The sequence below is a fragment of the Homo sapiens genome, chromosome 6, assembly GCF_000001405.40.
Source record: "Homo sapiens chromosome 6, GRCh38.p14 Primary Assembly".
NCBI classification, from domain to species: domain Eukaryota; kingdom Metazoa; phylum Chordata; class Mammalia; order Primates; family Hominidae; genus Homo; species Homo sapiens.
In genome coordinates this window covers 26,157,188-26,176,619 of record NC_000006.12, presented here as the reverse complement: position 1 = coordinate 26,176,619, position 19,432 = coordinate 26,157,188, and the positions used below count along the sequence as shown (strand labels likewise).

Here is a 19,432-nt window from a genome sequence, read left to right as displayed (position 1 = left end):
GATAATAATAATAATAATAATAATAATAAAGAAGATGAGGGACAAATATCCCTGGAAAATAAATGTTTACCAAGACAGCGCTAGTTTAGCAATATTAATATCAGAGAAAATATTAAAGCAAAGGTGTTCATAGGGATAGAGAGGGACACTGTAAGGACTCTTATCTGCAATGTGGAAAAGAAGATATTCTGGAAAACTCTATTGAAGCAATACACCTATGAACTAGAGAAACTACAACCAACAAACTAGTACTTAGTTACTCAATTAACAAAAAAACACAAGGGGCCAGGCTCGGTGGCTCATGCCTGTAATCCCAGAACTTTGGGAAGTCAAGGCGGGTGAATCACTCAAGGTCAGGAGTTGGAGACCAGCTTGGCCAACATGGTGAAACCCCATCTCTACTAAAAATACAAAAATTAGCTGAGCATGGTGGTGCGCGCCTGTAATCCAAGCTACTCAGGAGGCTGAGGCAGGAGAATCGCTTGAACCTGGGAAGTGGAGGTTGCAGTGAGCCGAGATCATGCCACTGCAGTCCAGCTTGGGCGACAGCTCAAGACTCTTGTCTCAAACACACACACATCCCAAAGAAAAAAAAAGCAAAAAAAAAAAACCCACAAGGGAAATTCCCAGAAACCATCCAGAACAATAAAATTTAGAAGCTGAAACTAGGGTGACAAATAGGACATCTTTGGTTCTCTGGGGGCAAATACCATTAATCAGGATTATGAGCTCTGGGAATTAAAAGTCTGCCCCCTGGGGAATAGAATTCTAGGCTCTTAAACAAAAGTGAAGACATAGCATAAAGCCAGAATGGTTTGAAAAAGGGGTAGACTGGAGAAAAAAAAGGAAAAAAGAAGAAAAAAACTCGTAAACATCTCTGGGATAAAACCTTGTTTGTCTCTACAGGACTCTGACTCTGAGGAGGTGGATGGAGAAAATTGGCCCCAAAGATTTAACCCTAAGTATAAATGAAGTCTTGAGTTCCAGTGAAGAAGGCCTGAAATTAAACTGACTCGGGCTTATAGTGCCCCCTTGTGCCTGATGAAGACAAAACAAATCCCTACAGGAAGAAAGTATCTTGAACCCAAGTTCTCTACATCTACACACATTATCTATTTATGGAGCAATCATTTACTGAACACCTATTATATGCCAGACACTCTGTCAGGAACTTAGGATGTTTAAATATAAGTTCATAACAAATGTCACAAAATCGAAGAAAAACAGACACTATGGAGAGTTTGGCTTATAAGCAAAGAGCCTTCTATTTCCTCCTAGATCCCTAGGCAAACAAAGGATTTCAGATATTGAAATGATTAGATACAGACTATAAAAATCACTATTTACTGAAAGTTTAATGAAATAAAAAATAGAATAATAAAACAATCAAGGACCAAGGGATAATCAAAACCAAGTACATTTGAAAAAGAACAAAATAGAACTTTGCTATACTCCATAATGATAAAATAAAAATCCAAAAATAAGATGTAACATTCAAAACCTTATATGCACTTGACTACAGAACCACTACTATGTCAATAAATAACTGACAGAATTAGAAGGAGAATTTCAAATTTACAATTGTAGGGTAACCTTTCAATATTCTGTATGAGTGTTAGATTCTCATATTACAAGCAAAGAAAAATGCTAATGGTTTTCTAGGATTTGAACAAGACAATAAGCAAATTTGATCTATGATTACCTTCATTTGACACAGAAAACATCCCTTCTTTTTTTCAAAGCACACGTTGGACAATTTCAAAACAAATTAACCCTGGTTTCAGAAAGTTACAGAAATTAAGGAACATAACTACAAAAAGGGAGATATAAAGAATGACAAGAGAATGCTGTGTAACTTTTACAAAAAATTAAACTCAGTGGAAAATAATTTTCAAGAAAAAGAAGAAAATAGACAAGCTGACTAAACAAATTATGATTATGAAAATAAGGTAGGCAGTTAAAAAATATTTTCTACGTCCTTCCACCCAAATGCTGCCAAGTCCGGTCAGATATTCCAAGTTTTAGTGAATTTATGAGGAATAGATTATCTCTTTTTTTTTTTTTTTTTTTCTGAGATGGTTCTCGCTACGTTGCCTAGGCTGTAGCGCAGAAGCTATACACAGGCATGATGGCAGCACACTACAGTCTCCAATTCCTGGGCTCAAGTGGTCCTTCTGCTTCACCTCCTGAGTAGCTGGGACTACAGGGACGTGCCACCTCACTTGGCATGATACCTATTTCACAGAATCTGTTACTATAGAAAAACAGCTCTCCTACTCACTTTTTTCTTGTAAAATTGTATAACATTATTAGCAAAACTGGAGAATACAAATTTTAAAAAGGAAGGAAGAGAGAAAGAAGAAAAAAACAAAATTATAGTTTTGTCTCACTAATGAACATTCATTTTTGTTTTTTAGAAAAAAATGCCTATTATGAGAAAAAATGGAAACCAGGAGAAATTGCAGAGACCATGTTATTTAAATAAATAGCTGATTATATAGGGTTTATTCTAAGAATAGAAGGAAGTTTAGTATTCTAAATCTGCCAGTTTAAGAAATTAATAAAGGAAGGCCCAGAGCAGTGGCTCACGCCTGTATTCCTAGCACTTTAGGAGGCTGAGGCAGGTGGATCACTTAATGTCAGGAGTTCAAGGCCAGCCTGGCCAATGGCGGCCTATCTTCTTCTGATAATACAAAACTTAGCCAGATGTGGTGGCACGCACCTGTAGTCCCTGTTACTTGGGAAAGTGAGGCAGAAGAATCGCTTGAACCTGGGAGGTAGAGGTTGTAATGAGCTTAGATCAGGGCACTGCACTCCAGCCTGGGAGACAGAGTGAGATTCCATCTCAAAATAAAAACTAAAATAATAAAAAATAAAATAAAATAAAATAAAATAAATAAAATAAAAAAGAGATTAATAAAGAAAAAACATGATCATCTCCAAAGATACTGCGAAAGCATTTAACAAAATATAACACTCTTTAATCATAAACACTTAACAGACTACAATGAGAAGAGAACTTCATAAGGAGGAGCTACAGCGAGTATAACACTTAATGGTGCCGTTTTGGAAGGATTCCCATAGAGGCGGAAGGAAGACAAGTGTGGTGAGAAAGTACTCCTATTCAACACGGCATCACAGGGTTTGGCCAATACCATGAGATAGGAACAGGCAGTCAGAAGAGCAAGGATTCAATAGGAAAAGATGATTATCTTTGAAAATAACATAATTGTCAAGGTAAAAGTTCACAAGAATCTATAAACAATTAGATCAAATAAGAATTGGAATTAGTGGGCATAGGCCAGGCGTTGTGGCTCACGCCTGTAATCCCAGCACTTTGGGAGGCCGAGGCGGGCGGATCACGAGGTCAGGAGATCGAGACCATCCTGGCTAACACGGTGAAACCCCGTCTCTACTAAAAAATACAAAAAAACTTAGTCGGGCGTGGTGACTGTAGTCCCAGCTACTCGGGAAGCTGAGGCAGGAGAATGGCGTGAACCCGGGAGGCAGAGCTTGCAGTGAGCCGAGACTGCGCCACTGTACTCCAGCCTGGGGGACAGAGCGAGACTCCGTTTCAAAAAAAAAAAAAAAAAAATTAAAGTCATATGAAGATTAATATGTAACATCTTCTTCGACTTAAATGTTCATTTTTTTCCTTCTGACTTTAGAAGAAATTAAAATATTTTCATGAGCCTCCAAAAGAACTGCGGACCCTAGACACCGTGCCTGCTGTTTAATGGAGTACGGCACTGCGTGTACCGGAAGATGATTTTTTTAAAAAAAAACTCAATTAGGAAATAATTATTCGCACACATTCATATACATACATACATACACTGAATCCTCACACGAAGAGCCCTACAGGCGTGAGAACAGTAAGGGAGATGCAAGAAAGGTCTCCTTGGAGTTGGGAGGCGTATTTACAGCTACTAGAGAAGGGGGAAGTGCCAGCTCCCCGAGAAGAAAGCAGGAGGATGCTGAGAGACTAAAGCTGAAATTTTCTGCCTGCTTCCTCACTCTTTTCGTTGGTTTCAGCCGTCTGAAAAACCCTTGTGAGAGGAGCAAAAAGGTCAAGGGAAGATTGTTGCCTTGCTCTCAGTCTTCAAAATTTTCGATCCTCCGTTTTTTTTGTTTTGAGACGCAGTCTCGCTCTGTCGCCTAGGCTGGAGTGCAGCGGCGCGATCTCGGTCACTGCAACCTCCGCCTCCCTGGTTCTAGCGATTCTTCTGCCTCAGCCTCCTGAGTAGCTGGGACTACAGGCGCGTGCCACCACACCCGGCTAATTTTTTTGTACTTTTGATAGGGACGGGGTCTCACGGTGTTAGCCAGGATGGTCTCTATCTCCTGAACTCGTGATCCGCCCGCCTCGGCCTCCCAAAGTGCTGGGATTACAGGCGTGAGCCACCGCGCCCGGCCGGTCCTCTGTTTTTAAACTGTAAAGGACTCCAGCGGATTGTTCGAAGTCTCCGATATCCCGCGATCTGGTGGCCGCAGAAGAAAGAGGCCGAGTCGGCGGGGACTGGGAACCACCAGTTAGCGGCCTACGGGCAACCTCCCGGACGCGCGCGCCGGGCCGACGTTAAACGTACGTGACGCCCTATGCGGGAGCCGGATGGGCGTAACGGGGCGGCGGCGTAACGTGTGGCTCTGTGGTTAGGGCACGGAGGGGCGTGGCCGGACGGCCCTATGAGGGGGCCGGCGTTTTTGGCGAGGGTTGATGGGATGACCCTATGAGGGAGCCTGCGTGGAGGGGCACGACCGGCCCCAAGACTCCTTTTCATGGCCGCATAGCCGCACCGGGAGTAGGATGACCGCTGTTATTTTTCAGGACCTCTCATCTTCGGTTTGAAATTCTTTGCTTTTTTCCGGCTTTGTGTGGCTATTTAGTATTAGCATTTTAGGGCAGTTTCATTTCCTTTAAAGTAAAACTCTCCAAAGTGGTCTCCGGACCAGCAGCATCAGCATCACCTGCATAATTTAGAAGTACAAATTATCAGGTCCTACCTCAGATCTAATGCATCAGAAAAGTTTTGTGACTGCTTCAAAACATTGTTTCCCTTAATTCAGATGCTGGAGGAGACCTTTCAAATGGCAGCTTAGCATAAGCTAACCAGTTTTTAACTTCAGGTTCATTACCAAAGCCACATCAGTGCTTAGGCCTTATCCACTCAGACCTCCTTGATGCTGGAAAGTAAAGTGAAAATAGGTAGATAGATGTCTAGAAAGGGGAGGTCTTAGAAGAAAGGTTTGGATCAACAATGAAGGCAGAATTTACAATTCTCCGCAGATTTTATTAATTATAACTTTTTTTTTCAGACGTCCTGCCATCTTCTCATTCAGACTTTTCTTAGCAAAGGTAGTCCATGGCAAGTAATGAATTCCCAGTAACTAGGTCTGTAACAGAAGTAAATTCTGTTTTTATGTTTATAAACTCAAAAAGTAACATGAAGTGCAAACACCTTTAGTTCCTTCCCCTCGGTAACCTTCTTTTGATGAACCAGTGTGCAGCAAACCAGGATGAGTTGGATTTGGGTGGGATCCACACAGTCATTTTCAGGCAGATGAGACTTCCTAAGTTCTATGTATAGATTCATATTATCAGTTATTTTATGCATTCATTTCTCCTCTGTCTTCATGTCTCTCCCCTGATTGAAGAAATAAGAAGGGTTTAGTTATTAGGTGCCATTTTGCCATCACCATTAATATTTTCTATACAAAGAGGATTCTTTCTACATGTGCTTCTATAATGAACTATTAGGAATCTCTACTTCAGTTCTAGCTACACTTTAGTAGCATTAACACATAATAAGTCATGCTTAGTCAAGAAATATCACTGAATAATGTGATCTTTGTTTCAAATTCTCCAATTACCCTTCTTGGGTGGGATTCAAATAGTTCAAAAGCTCATATTCTCTCCCTTTCATTTTTGACCTGAAAAGATTTGAACACTCTGATTTTTATTTTAACTCAGTGAAAAGGAAAATATAATAACTGTTAAATATTGCTAAGTGCTTACTAAAAGTCCATCACTGTTTTAAGAGCTTTACATGAACTATCTTAAAATAACTTTAAGAAGTAATCTACTATTATTATCCTCCTTGTATAGATGAGGAAAGTGAAACCCAGAAAATCCGAGTCACTCATTCAGTTGAACCACTGTGACAACTCAGTAGTGGCCTCTATTCCTGTAGTTATAGATATTTGTGCACTTTAATTATGTCAGAAATTATGTCATGCTGCAAATACGTTTTGAGAGTCTGCCATGTGCCTGGAACAGCCTTAGGCATTAGGAAACAAGCAGCAAAACAGGTGAACTCCCTGTTTTTATGGACCTTACAGTTTTCAGGATTGGAAGGGGAGGCAAACAATAAACAAATGTAAGATAGTGCTAAGAATAATGAGGAATGCATACAGCAAGTTAAGAATGAGGATAGAAGGGTGCCATTTTACATTTGATGGTCAGAGAAAACCTCTCAGATGTGGTGACATTTTCATCAATCCACTTAATCCAAAACCCAAGAAATGTGAGAAATATCTCAGTTATTATTTGACAGGTATTACACACAACTGAGACACCAAGTATATGACAAGGTCTATCTACTCATGTCCCCTTTTTGTTTTTTCTCTATCTTTCTACCACATTCTGCTGTGGGTTTCTTTTAGTTCTCCAAGCTCTTTCCCTCACCCCCCTTTTTCTTTTTCTTTTTTTTCTTTTTTTTGAGATGGAGTCTCGCCCTGCCACCCAGGCTGGAGTGCAGTGACGCCCTCTTGGCTCAAGGACTACAGGTGCATGCCACCATGCCTGGCTAATTTTTGTATTTTTAGTAGAGACGGGGTTTCACCATATTGGCCAGGCTGGTCTGGAACTCCTGACCTCATGATCTGCCTGCCTCAGCCTTCCAAATTGCTGTGAGCCACTGCACCTGGCCCCTCCCTTTTTTAGTAGGAGTTTGCTTCTTCCATTCCTTTTCTGAGTACTTCTCAATTTCTCTCACCTTTTTTCTCATGCTCTCCCCAATTTCCTAGAAAGTAATTGTAACTTGGCTATAATATTTATAAAATATTGTTTTGTATTTATAAAGAATATTTTGAAATTTTAAAACAATATTTTATTACTCAAAAATTAGAATACATATGTTTGCCTTGATGCAATTAATTTGGTAGTTCCTGTATGAGCCCACGTTCATTTGACTTTGCTGAAGATTTCCAGAGTATGAGAAACACTTTTTTAGGCTTTAGTGAAAGACAAAGGTAAATGAAAACCATTAGCTGTAAGTCTTCTTAACTGAGGGCTCCAGGAGGTCAAGGACCACCATATCTCTCTGTGTATATGCAGCGCCCAAGCCAGTGCCTAGGGAGTTTTGCGTACTTCATGAATTTCCTTACAAATCCTTCATGACTAATTTCTTCTATTTGATTTCTTTTCTTTATACCTCTCTCTGCTGAGTGTTAATCTGTTAATCTTACACTTGGAACATTTTTTTACTATTACCTAATCATTAATCTTAAGTTTTATATATTAAATTATTAACTTAGCTTTAACTTCTTGTCCAATTTAAATTTCATTAATTTGTTTTTTCCATTTTTAAAAATTTTTTCATACTCTGCAATATTTTCTAAGATTTAAAATTTTTATTGTATTAATTTTTCTGCTTCAGTTTGTTTTCTTTAAAAAGGCCCAATCTGTTTCTCGGACATTCTAACAACAATCATGCACTAGAGAATTGCTTTACAGACTGCAGTTTAAGATTTCTCAAATGAATTAATACATTCAATGCATATTTTTTAAAAAGTAGCTGCTATGTGCTGGGATAATGTTTTATATAAACTGTAGTGGCACCACTTTGTCCTTTACAATATCTGGGAAAAGTCCATCAGGATATTATGAGGGGATTTTAATGGGCTTTGTCTCTGTGGGTAGTGGTCAATTTTAGTCTGAATTGTTGAAATTCTTAAAGGTTCTACCATTTATAAAGGTATCAGAGCCAGGTGATTGTACATTTGATTTCTATGTAGTCTTTAAAGCACAAATGCTTTTTACATCCAAGCATTTCAAATATAAAAAAGGTAAAGTGGTTTTAAATTATGTTCATAAATTTTTTACATTTTTTTGCCTTATCAAATTTTTATTTTTACTAATTTATTTATTTTTTTTTTTTAAAAAATGGAGTTTTGGTCTTGTTGCCCAGGCTGGAATGCAATGGCGTGATCTCAGCTCACCACAACCTCTGCCTCCCGGGTTCAAGCGATTCTCCTACTTCAGCCTCCCAACTAGCTAGGATTACGAGCATGTGCCACCATGCCTGGCTAATTTTGTATTTTTAGTAGAGACGGGGTTTCTCCATGTTGGCCAGGCTGGTCTTGAACTCCCGACCTCAGGTGATCTGCCCGCCTTGGCCTCCCAAAGTGCTGGTATTACAGGCTTGAGCCACTGGGCCTGGCCCAAGTTTTTATTTTTATACACTTTTTTTTTTGGTATTGAAAAGGAAAGCATAATTACCACAAAGTACAAAGGACTAAAGCAGGACTATAATAATAAATGAATCAATTTGGCCTGGAAAGCAGATACCTTCAATAATATTAATGTTATAATACAAGCTCATTCAAGTATTTGACGTTGCTTTTTTTTTGTCCTTTTAAATATGATACCCTGTACACATATGTAACAAACCTGCACGTTGTGCACATGTACCCTAAAACTTAAAGTATAATAATAAAAAAATAAAAATAAATAAATAAATAAATATGATACCCTAGCCCATAGTAAAGATAATCTATTATGAGCGTAAGGTGCAACCTTCTCTACAAAGCCAGATGACAAGTTTTTGTCTCCAATGAGAAATAGCTCTGAGTTCTTATCTTTTCTACTATCAACGTGCCTGAAGTGGGAGAGGGTGGGGGCTGGGGAAAATCCAAGGACCCTTCAACATGGGAGGATTCCATTCAGGAGGGTACCAGATAATTCAGATCACTCTACCTAGCCTTTTTTGAAAAAAACAACCCTCACCCTCCGTAGTCATCTTCCTTGGCTCTTCTCCTCACTTCCAGGGCCTTCTAAGCAGCTTACTTACTTTTGTAAAATCAATCACCAGGAAAGGGACTGATAGAACAACACAAAAATATTTAACAACTTTGACCTAGGGGCTTAGCACCTCTATCTGAGCCCCAGCGGTCTAGGCTGGGGGAGGGCTGATGGCCCTTCTCTACTGGTAGTGCATTTGTTCCCAGGTGCAAGAGCAGGTGAAAGAGAAACCTGCCCCTTAACAGGGCTGAGACACACAGACCTTCTGATGTTTGATGCCCAAAGGTTGTGTTGGCATGGACAAACCTTGAAAGAGATATGATGAAAAGAGAGATCTCGGCAGGCTGTTGCTTTGTGTCTCAGGTCTTGGATCCCCAGGGGAGGATAGTGGGTATGAAGTAGCTAGCCCTGATGGCCCCTGCCACTTCTAGCATGCTTGTCACAGATACATCGGTCCTAAATTCAAGTGTCTTCAGAAATTGAATATGTAAACTACTCTTTGCAACATTAACTCCTATCATTTTACAAAAAAAAAAAAAAAAAAAAAAGAGAAAACAAAAAAAAGAAAGAAAAGAATGTGAAGAAAAGAAAAAAAGAGGCCGGGCACGGTGGCTCATGCCTGTAATCCCAGCACTTTGGGAGGGCTAGGCGGGCAGATCACCTGAGGTCAGGAGTTCGAGACCAGCCTCGTCAACATGGTGAAACCCCATCTCTACTAAAAGTATAAAAATTAGTTGGACATGGTGGTGCATGCCTGTAGTCCCAGCTACTCAGGGAGGCTAAGACAGAAGAATGGCTTGAACCCAGGAGGCGGAGGTTGCAGTGAGCCAAGATCAAACCATTGCACTTTAGCCTGGGTGACAGAACAAGACTCCGTGTCAAAAAAAAAAAAAAAAAAAAAAAAAGCCAAAAGTATCCCCCTCTGCTCGTGCCGACCACCAATCTATGTTGAGATGAAGTCCTTACCTCCCTGCCCCAAAGGGGCTTCCTCTTTGAGGAATGTGTGTGAAGAAGATGGCAGCCCCCCTGGCCTGGGAGTAAACCCCAGATAAGAACAGCCTTCCCCCACATCCCAAGGCTTCTTTGTGCCCCCAGAAGCAGCATAGGAAAAACAATGAAGTTTCTGTGGTGCTGGATACAGTACATGGCTGCGTGACCTGAAGGAAAGAAGGAATAAAGGGAAGGAGGAGGGGGTCCAGGAGGCCAGTATCTGGTATGATGCAGAGCAGGCACCAGACTGAGCAGGGAAAGGCCTCAGATTCCACTGTCATAGCAGAGACCATGGTTTGAGACATGGGTCATAGGAACTGAAATGGGCTTCCCACATACTAACCACTGGGAGGTCAAAGGCAAGGAAGGGCCCAGGCTAAAAGCAATGAGATGCCAAGGTAACAGGCAAGACTTTGTCAGCCTGTGGTACTGTCTCCTACTTCCAGCCTTTGGGCTCAACAGAGGAACCAGTTGAAAAGGAGGGTCAAAGACACTGAGTAAGTGAGCAACAGGACCACCAAACTCCTCTGTGTTGCCCAGATCCCACTGAGAGTGAACAAGGAGTTATCCCTGTATCCAAGACACATCCCAGTCTGTGTGGGTCAGTCCTTCATCACCCTCCCTAGCTTCTGATGACAGCAGACTTCAGCCATTCCATTGTCATTCACAGCCCAACCCAGTCAGTGGCTGAAGAAGAGAAGTCAGGTATACTCTATGTCCACATCTATTTTCCTGCCACAGGGCTTCACCAGCTGGCAGGGTTCCCTCCTGGCCCCCACCTCCTTTTCATCCCTCATTCCCAGGTGGGGTCAATTGGAGGGTGGGCAGAGATAGATGGCTTACAGAGGGGGGATGAGACCAGGCCCTAGGAGGAGAATGGCAACTTTCTCCACTTTTTAAGAGAGACAGAGCCTCCTTGACGTCTCAGAGATCTTTCAGGTCAACACAGGAAACATTTCCAAGCCTCAGCTGTGGGTGTTCACCTTTTCTCTCTGGGGTAGGGGACATGTTCCAGCTGAGAACAAGTATGTTCCAGATGCAGGCCAAGTTTGTTCTCCAAAAGTTTGAAACAAACTTGGCCTTGGGGTTTCATGGGTAGGATGCAGGACGTCACGGCAGGACGGGGCCTGACATGAGGCAATAGCAAGCAGAGCAGGGACACAACGGTAGCAGCTGTGTACAGACACAGGATGTCAGCTTCAAACGATGCAATAGCAAGGATATCTTGGGCATGGTTCTGATCCAAGCCACCACAAACTCTTGCCTCCAGGACAGAGGCTGTGTACATGCAGCAGCCCAGAGAAAGATTCTAGGGAGTCCAAGACCAGGCACATCCAGAGAAGGTGGGAGCTCTTTGGGTTGGCTCTCCATCGTGGAAAACAGACATTTGGGTATTTCGGATTCCCACTCCACAATAAGGCAACTTAAAAATATTTCCAAAAACAAAAATCCAAGGGGAGAGGATAGACATCATTTTCTGTGGATTCATTGGGGGATTTCTGATTTCTTGTTTTTTAATTGTTGATTTTTTTTCCCATTTTCCCAGGGATGGAAAGGTCAGAGAAACATAAATCATCTTTCAATATAGTCTTTCCTGATATGAGCAGCATCTCTCTGGGCTGGGGAGTAAAGAGTGTGGGGAGAGGGGAGTGAGGAGAGGCTAGAATCTTCCCCCAAGCCCCAGTTTTAGATCCTTTGGTTTCCTTCTCCCAGAAGATGGCAGAAGGGCATGGTAGGGACAGCAGAGAGAGAACATGGTGATGATAAACCCTACAAGATCAAGGTGCCGGTTCTCCTGGGGCTCAGGGGTACCACCAGAGCCTTCCATGGGATGGTGCTGGGCAATGGGGCCTGCAGAGCCTTCTTGTGGGCTGCATAGTTGGCTGGAAGGGGAGCAGGAAGATGTTAGGTGTGGGGACCAGGGTTGCAGCCTACTAGCTATGGTAGGGCTGCAGATTTTGGTAATCCAGATGAACTATCAATAATTTAAAATTATATATATATATATATAAAATCTCCCTTGCTCTCCCCTCTCAGAAGAAGTTAGGATGTAAAGAATCATAGAGGAGAGGGAAGGGGATGTTGAGGCTCCTGTCCAGGGGAACTCTGATAGCCCAAATGGTGTACACATTGCTACTCAGTACAAAGGCCCATCCTAATAACTCCAGGCTTGTCCTTTTTTGTTCCCTGTCCTGGGACTGGGCATGGCCATGCACTTCTTGCCCATCCCATCCCTTTCCCTGCCTCAAGCCCCAGGGCTAAATGGTTTTTCACTTTCCCAAATCTGTGTGTCTGAGTGCTGGCTTGTCCACTTGGCATCTTCCAGGATGGGCTGGCCAGTGGGTGGTATAGAGGGCTGGCTGATCATGGTGGCAGGTCTGCTGGGAGACTGAGAGGGGCACTGCTTCCTGCCCTCACCCCTGCCACCTCCTGCTACCACTGAGTGTTGCTTGTGGTTGGCCTCCTCACCCACGGGGGGATCTACTCAGAAGTCTTCAAGACTTTGGAATTTGCTGAGGTATTTTTGCAGTTGGGGTCAATGTCCACATTTTTGGCTTTGGAATATTTCAATAAGTTCTTTTACTATTCTTATCTGAAAGGGTGTAGCTTAATTCTACTTCTGGGTATGTGCCAGATTTCAGTGACTTGTTTATATTGAATAACATGTGCCGGAGGAAATGGCTCACACCTGTAGTCTCAGCTACTTGGGAGTCTGAGGCAGGATTGCTTGAGCTCAGGAGTTCCAAGGTGCAGTAAGCTAAGATCAGGTCCCTGCATTCCAGCCTGGGTGACGGAGCAAGACTCTGTCTCTAAGAAATAAATAAATAACGTTTAAAAAGTGTGGCAGAAGTGTGTAAGTTTCGAATCTTGTTCACAAAAGGCATTGCGGCTTATTCCTTCCCCTTTCTCTTTCTTTTTTCTCCTGCTAAGAGAAAACAGTTGTTTGGTTTTGAAGATAATCAGTTACCCCTCTAGAGAGGTCTAACGGGCAAGGAACTGAGGCCTCCACCCAAAAGTCGGCTTGAACTTGCCAGATATGCGAGTGTGCCACCTTGGAAGGGAATCCTCCAGCTACAGTCAAGGATTCGGATGATTGCAGCCTATGTTTACAGCTTGACTTCAACCTCAAGGAAGACCCGGAGCCATAACCACCTAGCTAAATCACTTCTGGATTCCCGACTCACAGAAATTAGTTTTGGGATAATTTGTTACACGGCAATAGATAACATAATAGACATGGGGAGCCCCACAGTTAAGCTTATAGAGCTACCATAATTTTTATAATGAAACTTGATAAAGGTAAGCCCAAAATAGAACATAATAGAATGGGCCAGGTGCGGTGCCTCATGCCTGTAATCCCAGCTACACAGGAGGCTGAGGTAGGAGAATCGTTTGAACCCAGGAGGTGGAGGTTTCAGTGAGCCGAGATTGTGCCACTGCACTCCAGCCTGGGTGACAGAGCGAGACTAAATCTAAAAGAAAAAAAAAATCATAGAATGATTTTATGCAAATAGAAATGGAAAAAAATCATGAAAAATATTAACAAAATTTACCCAGGTATTATTTAAAATAATAGTATACCATGACCAAATAAGATTTGGACTAGGAATAAAAGCATGAATCAACACAAAGAAATCTATCTATACTTCATGGCAACAGGTTAAAAAAGAAAAAGCATATGATTTCTTCAGAAGTCAAAGTGATCGAATAAAATTCATAAATCATACCTAATAAAAAATCTTAAAAGAAGATTAGAAGGAAACTACCGGGCTCGGCACGGTGGCTCACACCTGTAATCCCAGCACTTTGGGACCCCATGGTGGGCAGATCACTTGAGGTCAGGAGTTTGAGACTAACCTGGCCAGCATAACAAAACCTTGTCTCTACTAAAAATACAAAAAAATTAGCCGAGTGCGGTGGTGTGCGCCTGTAATCTCAGGTATTCAGGTGGCTGAGATGAATGCGGGAGGCTGGGAAGTGGAGGCTGCAGTGAGCAGAGATCCGGCCACTGCGCTCCAGCCTGGGCAACAGATAAAACTCTGTCTCAAAACAACAACAACAACAAACAAAAACCAAAAACTACATTAACACAATGAAGACTACATATACACATCCATGCACATACACACAAAAGCAATTATAAATCATCAACCACCGAAGTCATTTCTATGAACAGGAGGAAAAAGACAATACCTGGTAGCATGTCTAATGTGACATATTGTTTGTGATGGTAGCTAGCACAGTAAGATGATTAAAGCAAACAATAAATAGTTATGGGAGAGAATATCGAACATTTTTATTTGCTAATAGTACTATATGCAATTAAAATCAAGTCAGTCGACTATTGATTAGGATTAATAGAATTTGATAAGGTTAGCTAGACACAAAATTCATGTAAATAACCAATTATCCAATTATCCTCCTACATGCAGAATTTCAAACAGTGCTTTAGTGTGAGGTCATATGTCAATATGTAACAGAAGTCACAATCTTTTGAAAATCAGTATTACATCTGTAAAAATTTGGAGAGCTTAATTAATTCACAGCACACATAGTGACTCCCTTTTTTTGTATCATTTTTCTGTTTAAATATTTACTTTGTTAACCTAGGCTTGCTTTGATGAGCAATACATTAGGTTTCAATTTTTATTTTCTTATATTATTTTTAATTATTAGTAATCCATCCATTCTAGAAAATTATTGGCCATGATCTTTTAAATCTCACATTTGCATCATTCTCCCTGATTGTTTCTTCTGGTACTGTGATTAGGTCAACGTCAGATCATATTTTACTACTAATTCTAGGTCTCTTTTCATTTATTTATTTATTATTTGAGACAAGGTCTCACTCTCATTGCCCAGGCTGGAGTGCAGTGGTGTGATCATGGCTCTCTGCAGCCTTGATTTCCCTAGCTCAAGTGATTCTCTCACCTCAGCCTCCTGAGTAGCTGGGACCACAAGCACGCACCACCATGCCTGGCTAATTTTTTGTATTTTCAGTAGAGTCGGGGGTTTGCCATATTATTCAGGCTGGTCTCCAACTCCTGGGCTCAAGCAATCCTCCTGCCTTGGCCTCTGAAAGTGCTGGGATTACAAGCATGAGTCACCTTGCCCAGCCCTAATTCCAGGTTTCTTAAACTCACTTTTGCATTTTTATCTCTGCATTTCAGATAATTCCTTAAGATCTGATTACATAGTTTATTAAATTTCTACCGGTAGGTCCAATTGGCTGCTGTTAAACACATGCAGTAAGCTTTTCATTTCAATTTGTCTTATAATTACATGTTTATTTTCTAGAATTTCTATTAGGTTCTTTTTTCAAATCTATGTGGTCACTTTTGGTATTTCCTTAGTCCCTCAATATATTTATAAGACTTTTTGTTTCTTTTTTTTTCCTTCAGATGGAGTTTCACTCTTGTTGCCCAGACTGGAGGACAATTGCGTGATCTTGGCTCAATGCAACCTCTGCCTCCTGGGTTGAAGCGATTCTCCTGCCTCAGCCTCCTGAGTAGTTGAGATTACAGGTGCATGCCACCATGCCTGGATGATTTTTGTATTTTTAGTAGAGATGGGGTTTCACCATATTGGCCAGGCTGGTCTCGAACTCCTGAGCTCAGGTGATCCGCCTGCCTCAGCCTCCCAAAGTGCTGGGATTACAGGCGTGAGCCACTGTGCCTGGCCTCTTTTTCTTTTTTCAAAAAGACACTAGTCAATTCGAGTCTGTTTTTTTTTTTTTTTGAGACAGAGTCTCATTCTGTGGCCCAGGGTGGAGTGCAGTGGCACGATCTTGGCTCACTGCAAACTCCACCTCCCGGGTTCACGCGATTCTCCTGCCTCATCCTCCTGAGTAGCTGGGATTAAAGGCGCACACCACCACACTGGCTAATTTTTTGTGTACTTTTAGTAGAGACGGGGTTTCACTATGTTGGCCAGACTGGTCTCGAACTCCTGACCTTGTGATCCGCCTGCCTCAACTTCCCAAAGTGCTGGGATTACAGGCATGAACCACCGTGCCTGGCCTCAAGTCTGTATCTTGTTAATTCTCCCTTTTCATTTCCATTGTCTGTTGCTTTTTTTTTTTTTTTTTTTTTTCAGAGACAGGATCTCAAACTTTTGGCCTCAAGCAATCCTCCAGCCTCAGCCTCCCGAAGTGCTGGGATTACAGGCATTAGCCACCACGCCCAGCTCCCATTGTCTGTTGCTTTTGTTTTCATTAGTCATACTTCTAGTTTCATGATGTTTAATTTAGATTGTGAAGCTCCTTGTGCATTTTTGGGGGGATATTTTAGCTGTGGCAATTTGTTGAGGTGTAAAATGAAGCTTCTTTTCCAGAGATGACTTGTATTTGTTTCTACCGGGTGCTCAGGGGCACAAAACCAGCCTGGGATATGCCTAAATTAAATTCTCAGCTTGGGTGTTTGAATCCCTATGGTATGAATGCCAGGAACAAGTAAGCATCGATGGCTTGTAGTCCAAGCCTTAGCAGTAGAATCTACACTGCTCAGAACCCAACTTCGGAGCTGACTTTTTTATTTGCATTCATCTGTGATGGGTTTGTATGTGTGGTTCATCCTTCTACTCTTGAGATGACAGATTTAGGTCTGGTGTCTCACCTTCACCTAAGAAGATATATCAGGCTCTATACCCTGGTCAGTTTCCACGGGTTGAGTAAAAGCCAGCTGTAGTGCTTGGGGTTTAACATGGGCCAAGTCCCTGGCTCTGAGTTTACTTTCTTAGACCCTCTTTCTTACTTTTAAGAATTTAGAAAATATTACTCAGGCTTTTATTTATCCGTCCAAGTACCACGCTTGCCATGTTATGGAAAATGTATCCCATAATCCATCATTTCGTGTTTGTTTATGAGGGCATGAGGACAAACTTCTAAATTCATTCCTCTTTTAGACAATGATCATCCATCCATCACTTAAATTCTCCCTCTCAGCCAACATTTGACTCCAAACCTAGCCTCATCCATCTCACATTTTTCACGTCTCAAGTATTTGTTCCTTTCCTTCTGGCCACTCCCTCCTAGTTCCCTCCCGACTCTTTTCCGAGATTCTTTTTCTCCCGCAATCATCCATTCCCCAGCAGTGAAAACCTTTTGTCATCATCCTACCTTGTGCAGCAGAAGCTACATCCTGCCAGAAGGAGGTTTTCTTTCCCTTTCTACCTCCTCCAGTCCTCCGTACTCAGGGGCATCTAGGAAAGGATAAATTGTACTGCAAAGGGGGCTTCAGTCCTGCGATAACTATTGCCTACGTGCAGTCAGGCACCTTAATGATTGACTATTTGGTTTCTGCCGTTACCCGGAGGACTTTTAACCTGAAAGCTGCCAAAAAAAAAAAAAAAAAAAAAAAAAAAAACCTATAAATTAAATGACTTTCAGAAAAAGACGGTTTAGCAAAAGAATTTTAAGGTGTCTCAGAAGCTGCTTCTTTTTCCTGCACCTCAGCGCCTAGGATCCGCCTTTCCCTGCCCCACTCGCTTAAGAGCTTCAGACAGAAACTGGCCCAATTACAAAACAAATCAGAAACCTTTGTAATAGTTCCGTGTTCAGCTCACATTGTCTTCAGCCTTTACTTGCAGTTATTACATATCTGCATGGTAAAAATTTTACAAGAAAATGGGCGGGGGTGGTGGTGGAGAAAGCTCCAAACATAAGGAAGTTGTCAAGAGCGTGCACTTTCGTGCTCAGGGCGGGCCGTCACCACACCGAGTCCCGGATCAACATCACGATCAACTTGGAAATCTGCACACGGAAACCAAAGAGCTGTACATTTACAATACTTTCAGTTTATGCTAGTGTTATGTGATACTAAATGAGCTAACGATCTAATACGTACCCATAGCACTCAATTTCTAGTACCTATTGTTATTCCCTGTAACTTCCAAGTTATTTCCTCTGCAGTACTAACGTAACATTAAAGATTGGTACTGTGGTGCTAAGTCCAATAACCCCCCTTTTGAATGAAATGATTACAACTCATTTATTGAAAACATGCGTGGCTCTTAAAAGAGCCTTTGGGATTAGGTGTAAAGATGCTTACTTGGCAAAGTTACTTGGAACTGGTGTACTTGGTGACGGCCTTGGTGCCCTCCGACACGGCGTGCTTGGCCAGCTCCCCCGGAAGCAGCAGGCGCACGGCCGTCTGGATCTCCCTGGAGGTGATGGTCGAGCGCTTGTTGTAATGCGCCAGGCGGGAAGCCTCGCCTGCGATGCGCTCGAAGATGTCGTTGACGAAGGAATTCATGATCCCCATTGCCTTGGAAGAGATGCCGGTGTCGGGATGGACCTGCTTCAGCACCTTGTACACATACACTGAATAGCTCTCCTTGCGGCTGCGCTTGCGCTTCTTCCCGTCCTTCTTCTGAGCCTTAGTCACCGCCTTCTTGGAGCCCTTCTTTGGGGCAGGAGCAGACTTGGTAGGTTCAGGCATCGTAGCGTTAATAGTTAGAACACTGTTGCAAACACCTGAGAAAATAATCACTCCCGCCGAGGCCCTGTTCATTTATAGATGCGGTATTCAAATGAGGTTAATCAGATTTCGTTTATGATTGGATTAATTTTAGAGTGTCGTCACAAATGCCAATGTAAACGACACTTAAAAGTCTACCTTTTCATTGGCTATTTCGTTCCTTTACTTGTACCCAATGAGAAAGCCCAGACCAGACTACCCGAGGCTACTATAAATAGGCCTCTTTAGGCAAGACAGCTGTGCACTTCGCTTGGAGCAGTTGGTTTTTGAGATCCGACTTTTTTAACATTGTGGTGTCAGAACTTACACCGAAAGATACTTAACAGATTAGGAGAACTCACATTCCTTTCTTCCTTTAACAAAGTATGGGACTCGTTGCATACAGAAGCCGTGCTAATTGGGACATCCCCCCCCCCCAAGTCTGTCAGTTTTACGTTTCGGCAAGTCCTTAATCCATCCAAATGCCACATTTAAGGACCAAGTATTTTTCTGCAGTGTCGGTTTCTAATTTTCAGTTATGTGGCAGTAGTCTCCCCAAGCACTTGAAATGTAGCCCTTCGGAAATAATGTCAGTACTATGCCACTTGTCCTAAGACGTACTCCTCTGAAGTCCCTCACTGCCTGCCATACTCGATAGGGATAACCAGTAGGCTTGTAACCAGCACAGAAACTGATACACTGTGCCGTGTTTGGAACTCGGAAAAACCCAGCTTAGAAACCCGGGAAAATCCCAACATTTTTTTTCCCATGCTATCTGGAGGCCAGGGCCTGCTAAAAGTGCAAAGCACAAGGGAGGCCCAAATGGGTTCAACTCCGACACTCGAGAACGCAAAATCGAGATGACGCCACTGCACTCCGGCTTGGGCGACGCGACGCCTTAGTCAAAAATAGCTCCGGAGACACACAAAATCCCACTCCTCTCCCCGACTTTGTTCCCGGGAGA

General features: G+C 42.2%; 1 protein-coding gene, 1 long non-coding RNA gene and 1 pseudogene across 4 annotated transcripts, besides 6 other annotated features; 1 reads left to right on the top strand and 2 right to left on the bottom strand.

The window, feature by feature from the left end:
* Nucleotides 851–900: an enhancer, noted in NCBI's record as "active region_24196". NCBI's record gives its function as "activates an Ori minimal core promoter by ATAC-STARR-seq in GM12878 lymphoblastoid cells {active_cell/tissue: GM12878}" and the evidence as "EXISTENCE:reporter gene assay evidence [ECO:0000049][PMID:35858748]".
* H2BC6-AS1 (H2BC6 antisense RNA 1) lies at nt 3,847–16,346 on the top strand. The gene is made up of 3 exons (NR_186648.1): nt 3,847–4,585; nt 12,944–13,312; nt 15,415–16,346. It is a non-coding gene; the product is annotated as a H2BC6 antisense RNA 1 (long non-coding RNA).
* Nucleotides 3,881–4,773: an enhancer, noted in NCBI's record as "H3K27ac hESC enhancer chr6:26172075-26172967 (GRCh37/hg19 assembly coordinates)". NCBI's record gives its function as "activates a minimal SCP1, AML or CMV promoter by ChIP-STARR-seq in primed H9 embryonic stem cells {active_cell/tissue: H9 hESC(primed)}" and the evidence as "EXISTENCE:reporter gene assay evidence [ECO:0000049][PMID:30033119]".
* On the bottom strand, nt 5,271–18,499 carry H2BC5 (H2B clustered histone 5). 3 transcript variants are annotated; one of them, NM_138720.2, is made up of 2 exons: nt 18,061–18,499; nt 5,271–5,645 (listed from the first exon to the last, which is right to left on the bottom strand). In NM_138720.2, exon 1 carries the CDS (start codon nt 18,448–18,450, stop codon nt 18,070–18,072), a length of 381 nt encoding a protein of 126 aa, NP_619790.1. In that variant the 5' UTR covers nt 18,451–18,499; the 3' UTR covers nt 5,271–5,645; nt 18,061–18,069. The 3 variants fall into 3 exon arrangements, with proteins under 3 accessions (NP_619790.1, XP_005249096.2, NP_066407.1); XM_005249039.5 differs by lacking the exon at nt 5,271–5,645 and adding an exon at nt 17,553–17,762; NM_021063.4 differs by lacking the exon at nt 5,271–5,645 and having other exon boundaries at nt 18,013–18,498.
* On the bottom strand, nt 8,444–12,587 carry LARP1P1 (LARP1 pseudogene 1; annotated as a pseudogene).
* Nucleotides 15,298–16,049: an enhancer, noted in NCBI's record as "H3K27ac hESC enhancer chr6:26160799-26161550 (GRCh37/hg19 assembly coordinates)". NCBI's record gives its function as "activates a minimal SCP1, AML or CMV promoter by ChIP-STARR-seq in naive H9 embryonic stem cells {active_cell/tissue: H9 hESC(naive)}" and the evidence as "EXISTENCE:reporter gene assay evidence [ECO:0000049][PMID:30033119]".
* Nucleotides 16,825–17,119: a silencer, noted in NCBI's record as "tiled region #13869; K562 Repressive non-DNase unmatched - State 2:TssF". NCBI's record gives its function as "represses a minimal TATA promoter and a strong SV40 promoter by Sharpr-MPRA in K562 cells {active_cell/tissue: K562}" and the evidence as "EXISTENCE:reporter gene assay evidence [ECO:0000049][PMID:27701403]".
* Nucleotides 18,118–18,167: an enhancer, noted in NCBI's record as "active region_24195". NCBI's record gives its function as "activates an Ori minimal core promoter by ATAC-STARR-seq in GM12878 lymphoblastoid cells {active_cell/tissue: GM12878}" and the evidence as "EXISTENCE:reporter gene assay evidence [ECO:0000049][PMID:35858748]".
* Nucleotides 18,307–19,058: an enhancer, noted in NCBI's record as "NANOG-H3K27ac-H3K4me1 hESC enhancer chr6:26157790-26158541 (GRCh37/hg19 assembly coordinates)". NCBI's record gives its function as "activates a minimal SCP1, AML or CMV promoter by ChIP-STARR-seq in primed H9 embryonic stem cells {active_cell/tissue: H9 hESC(primed)}" and the evidence as "EXISTENCE:reporter gene assay evidence [ECO:0000049][PMID:30033119]".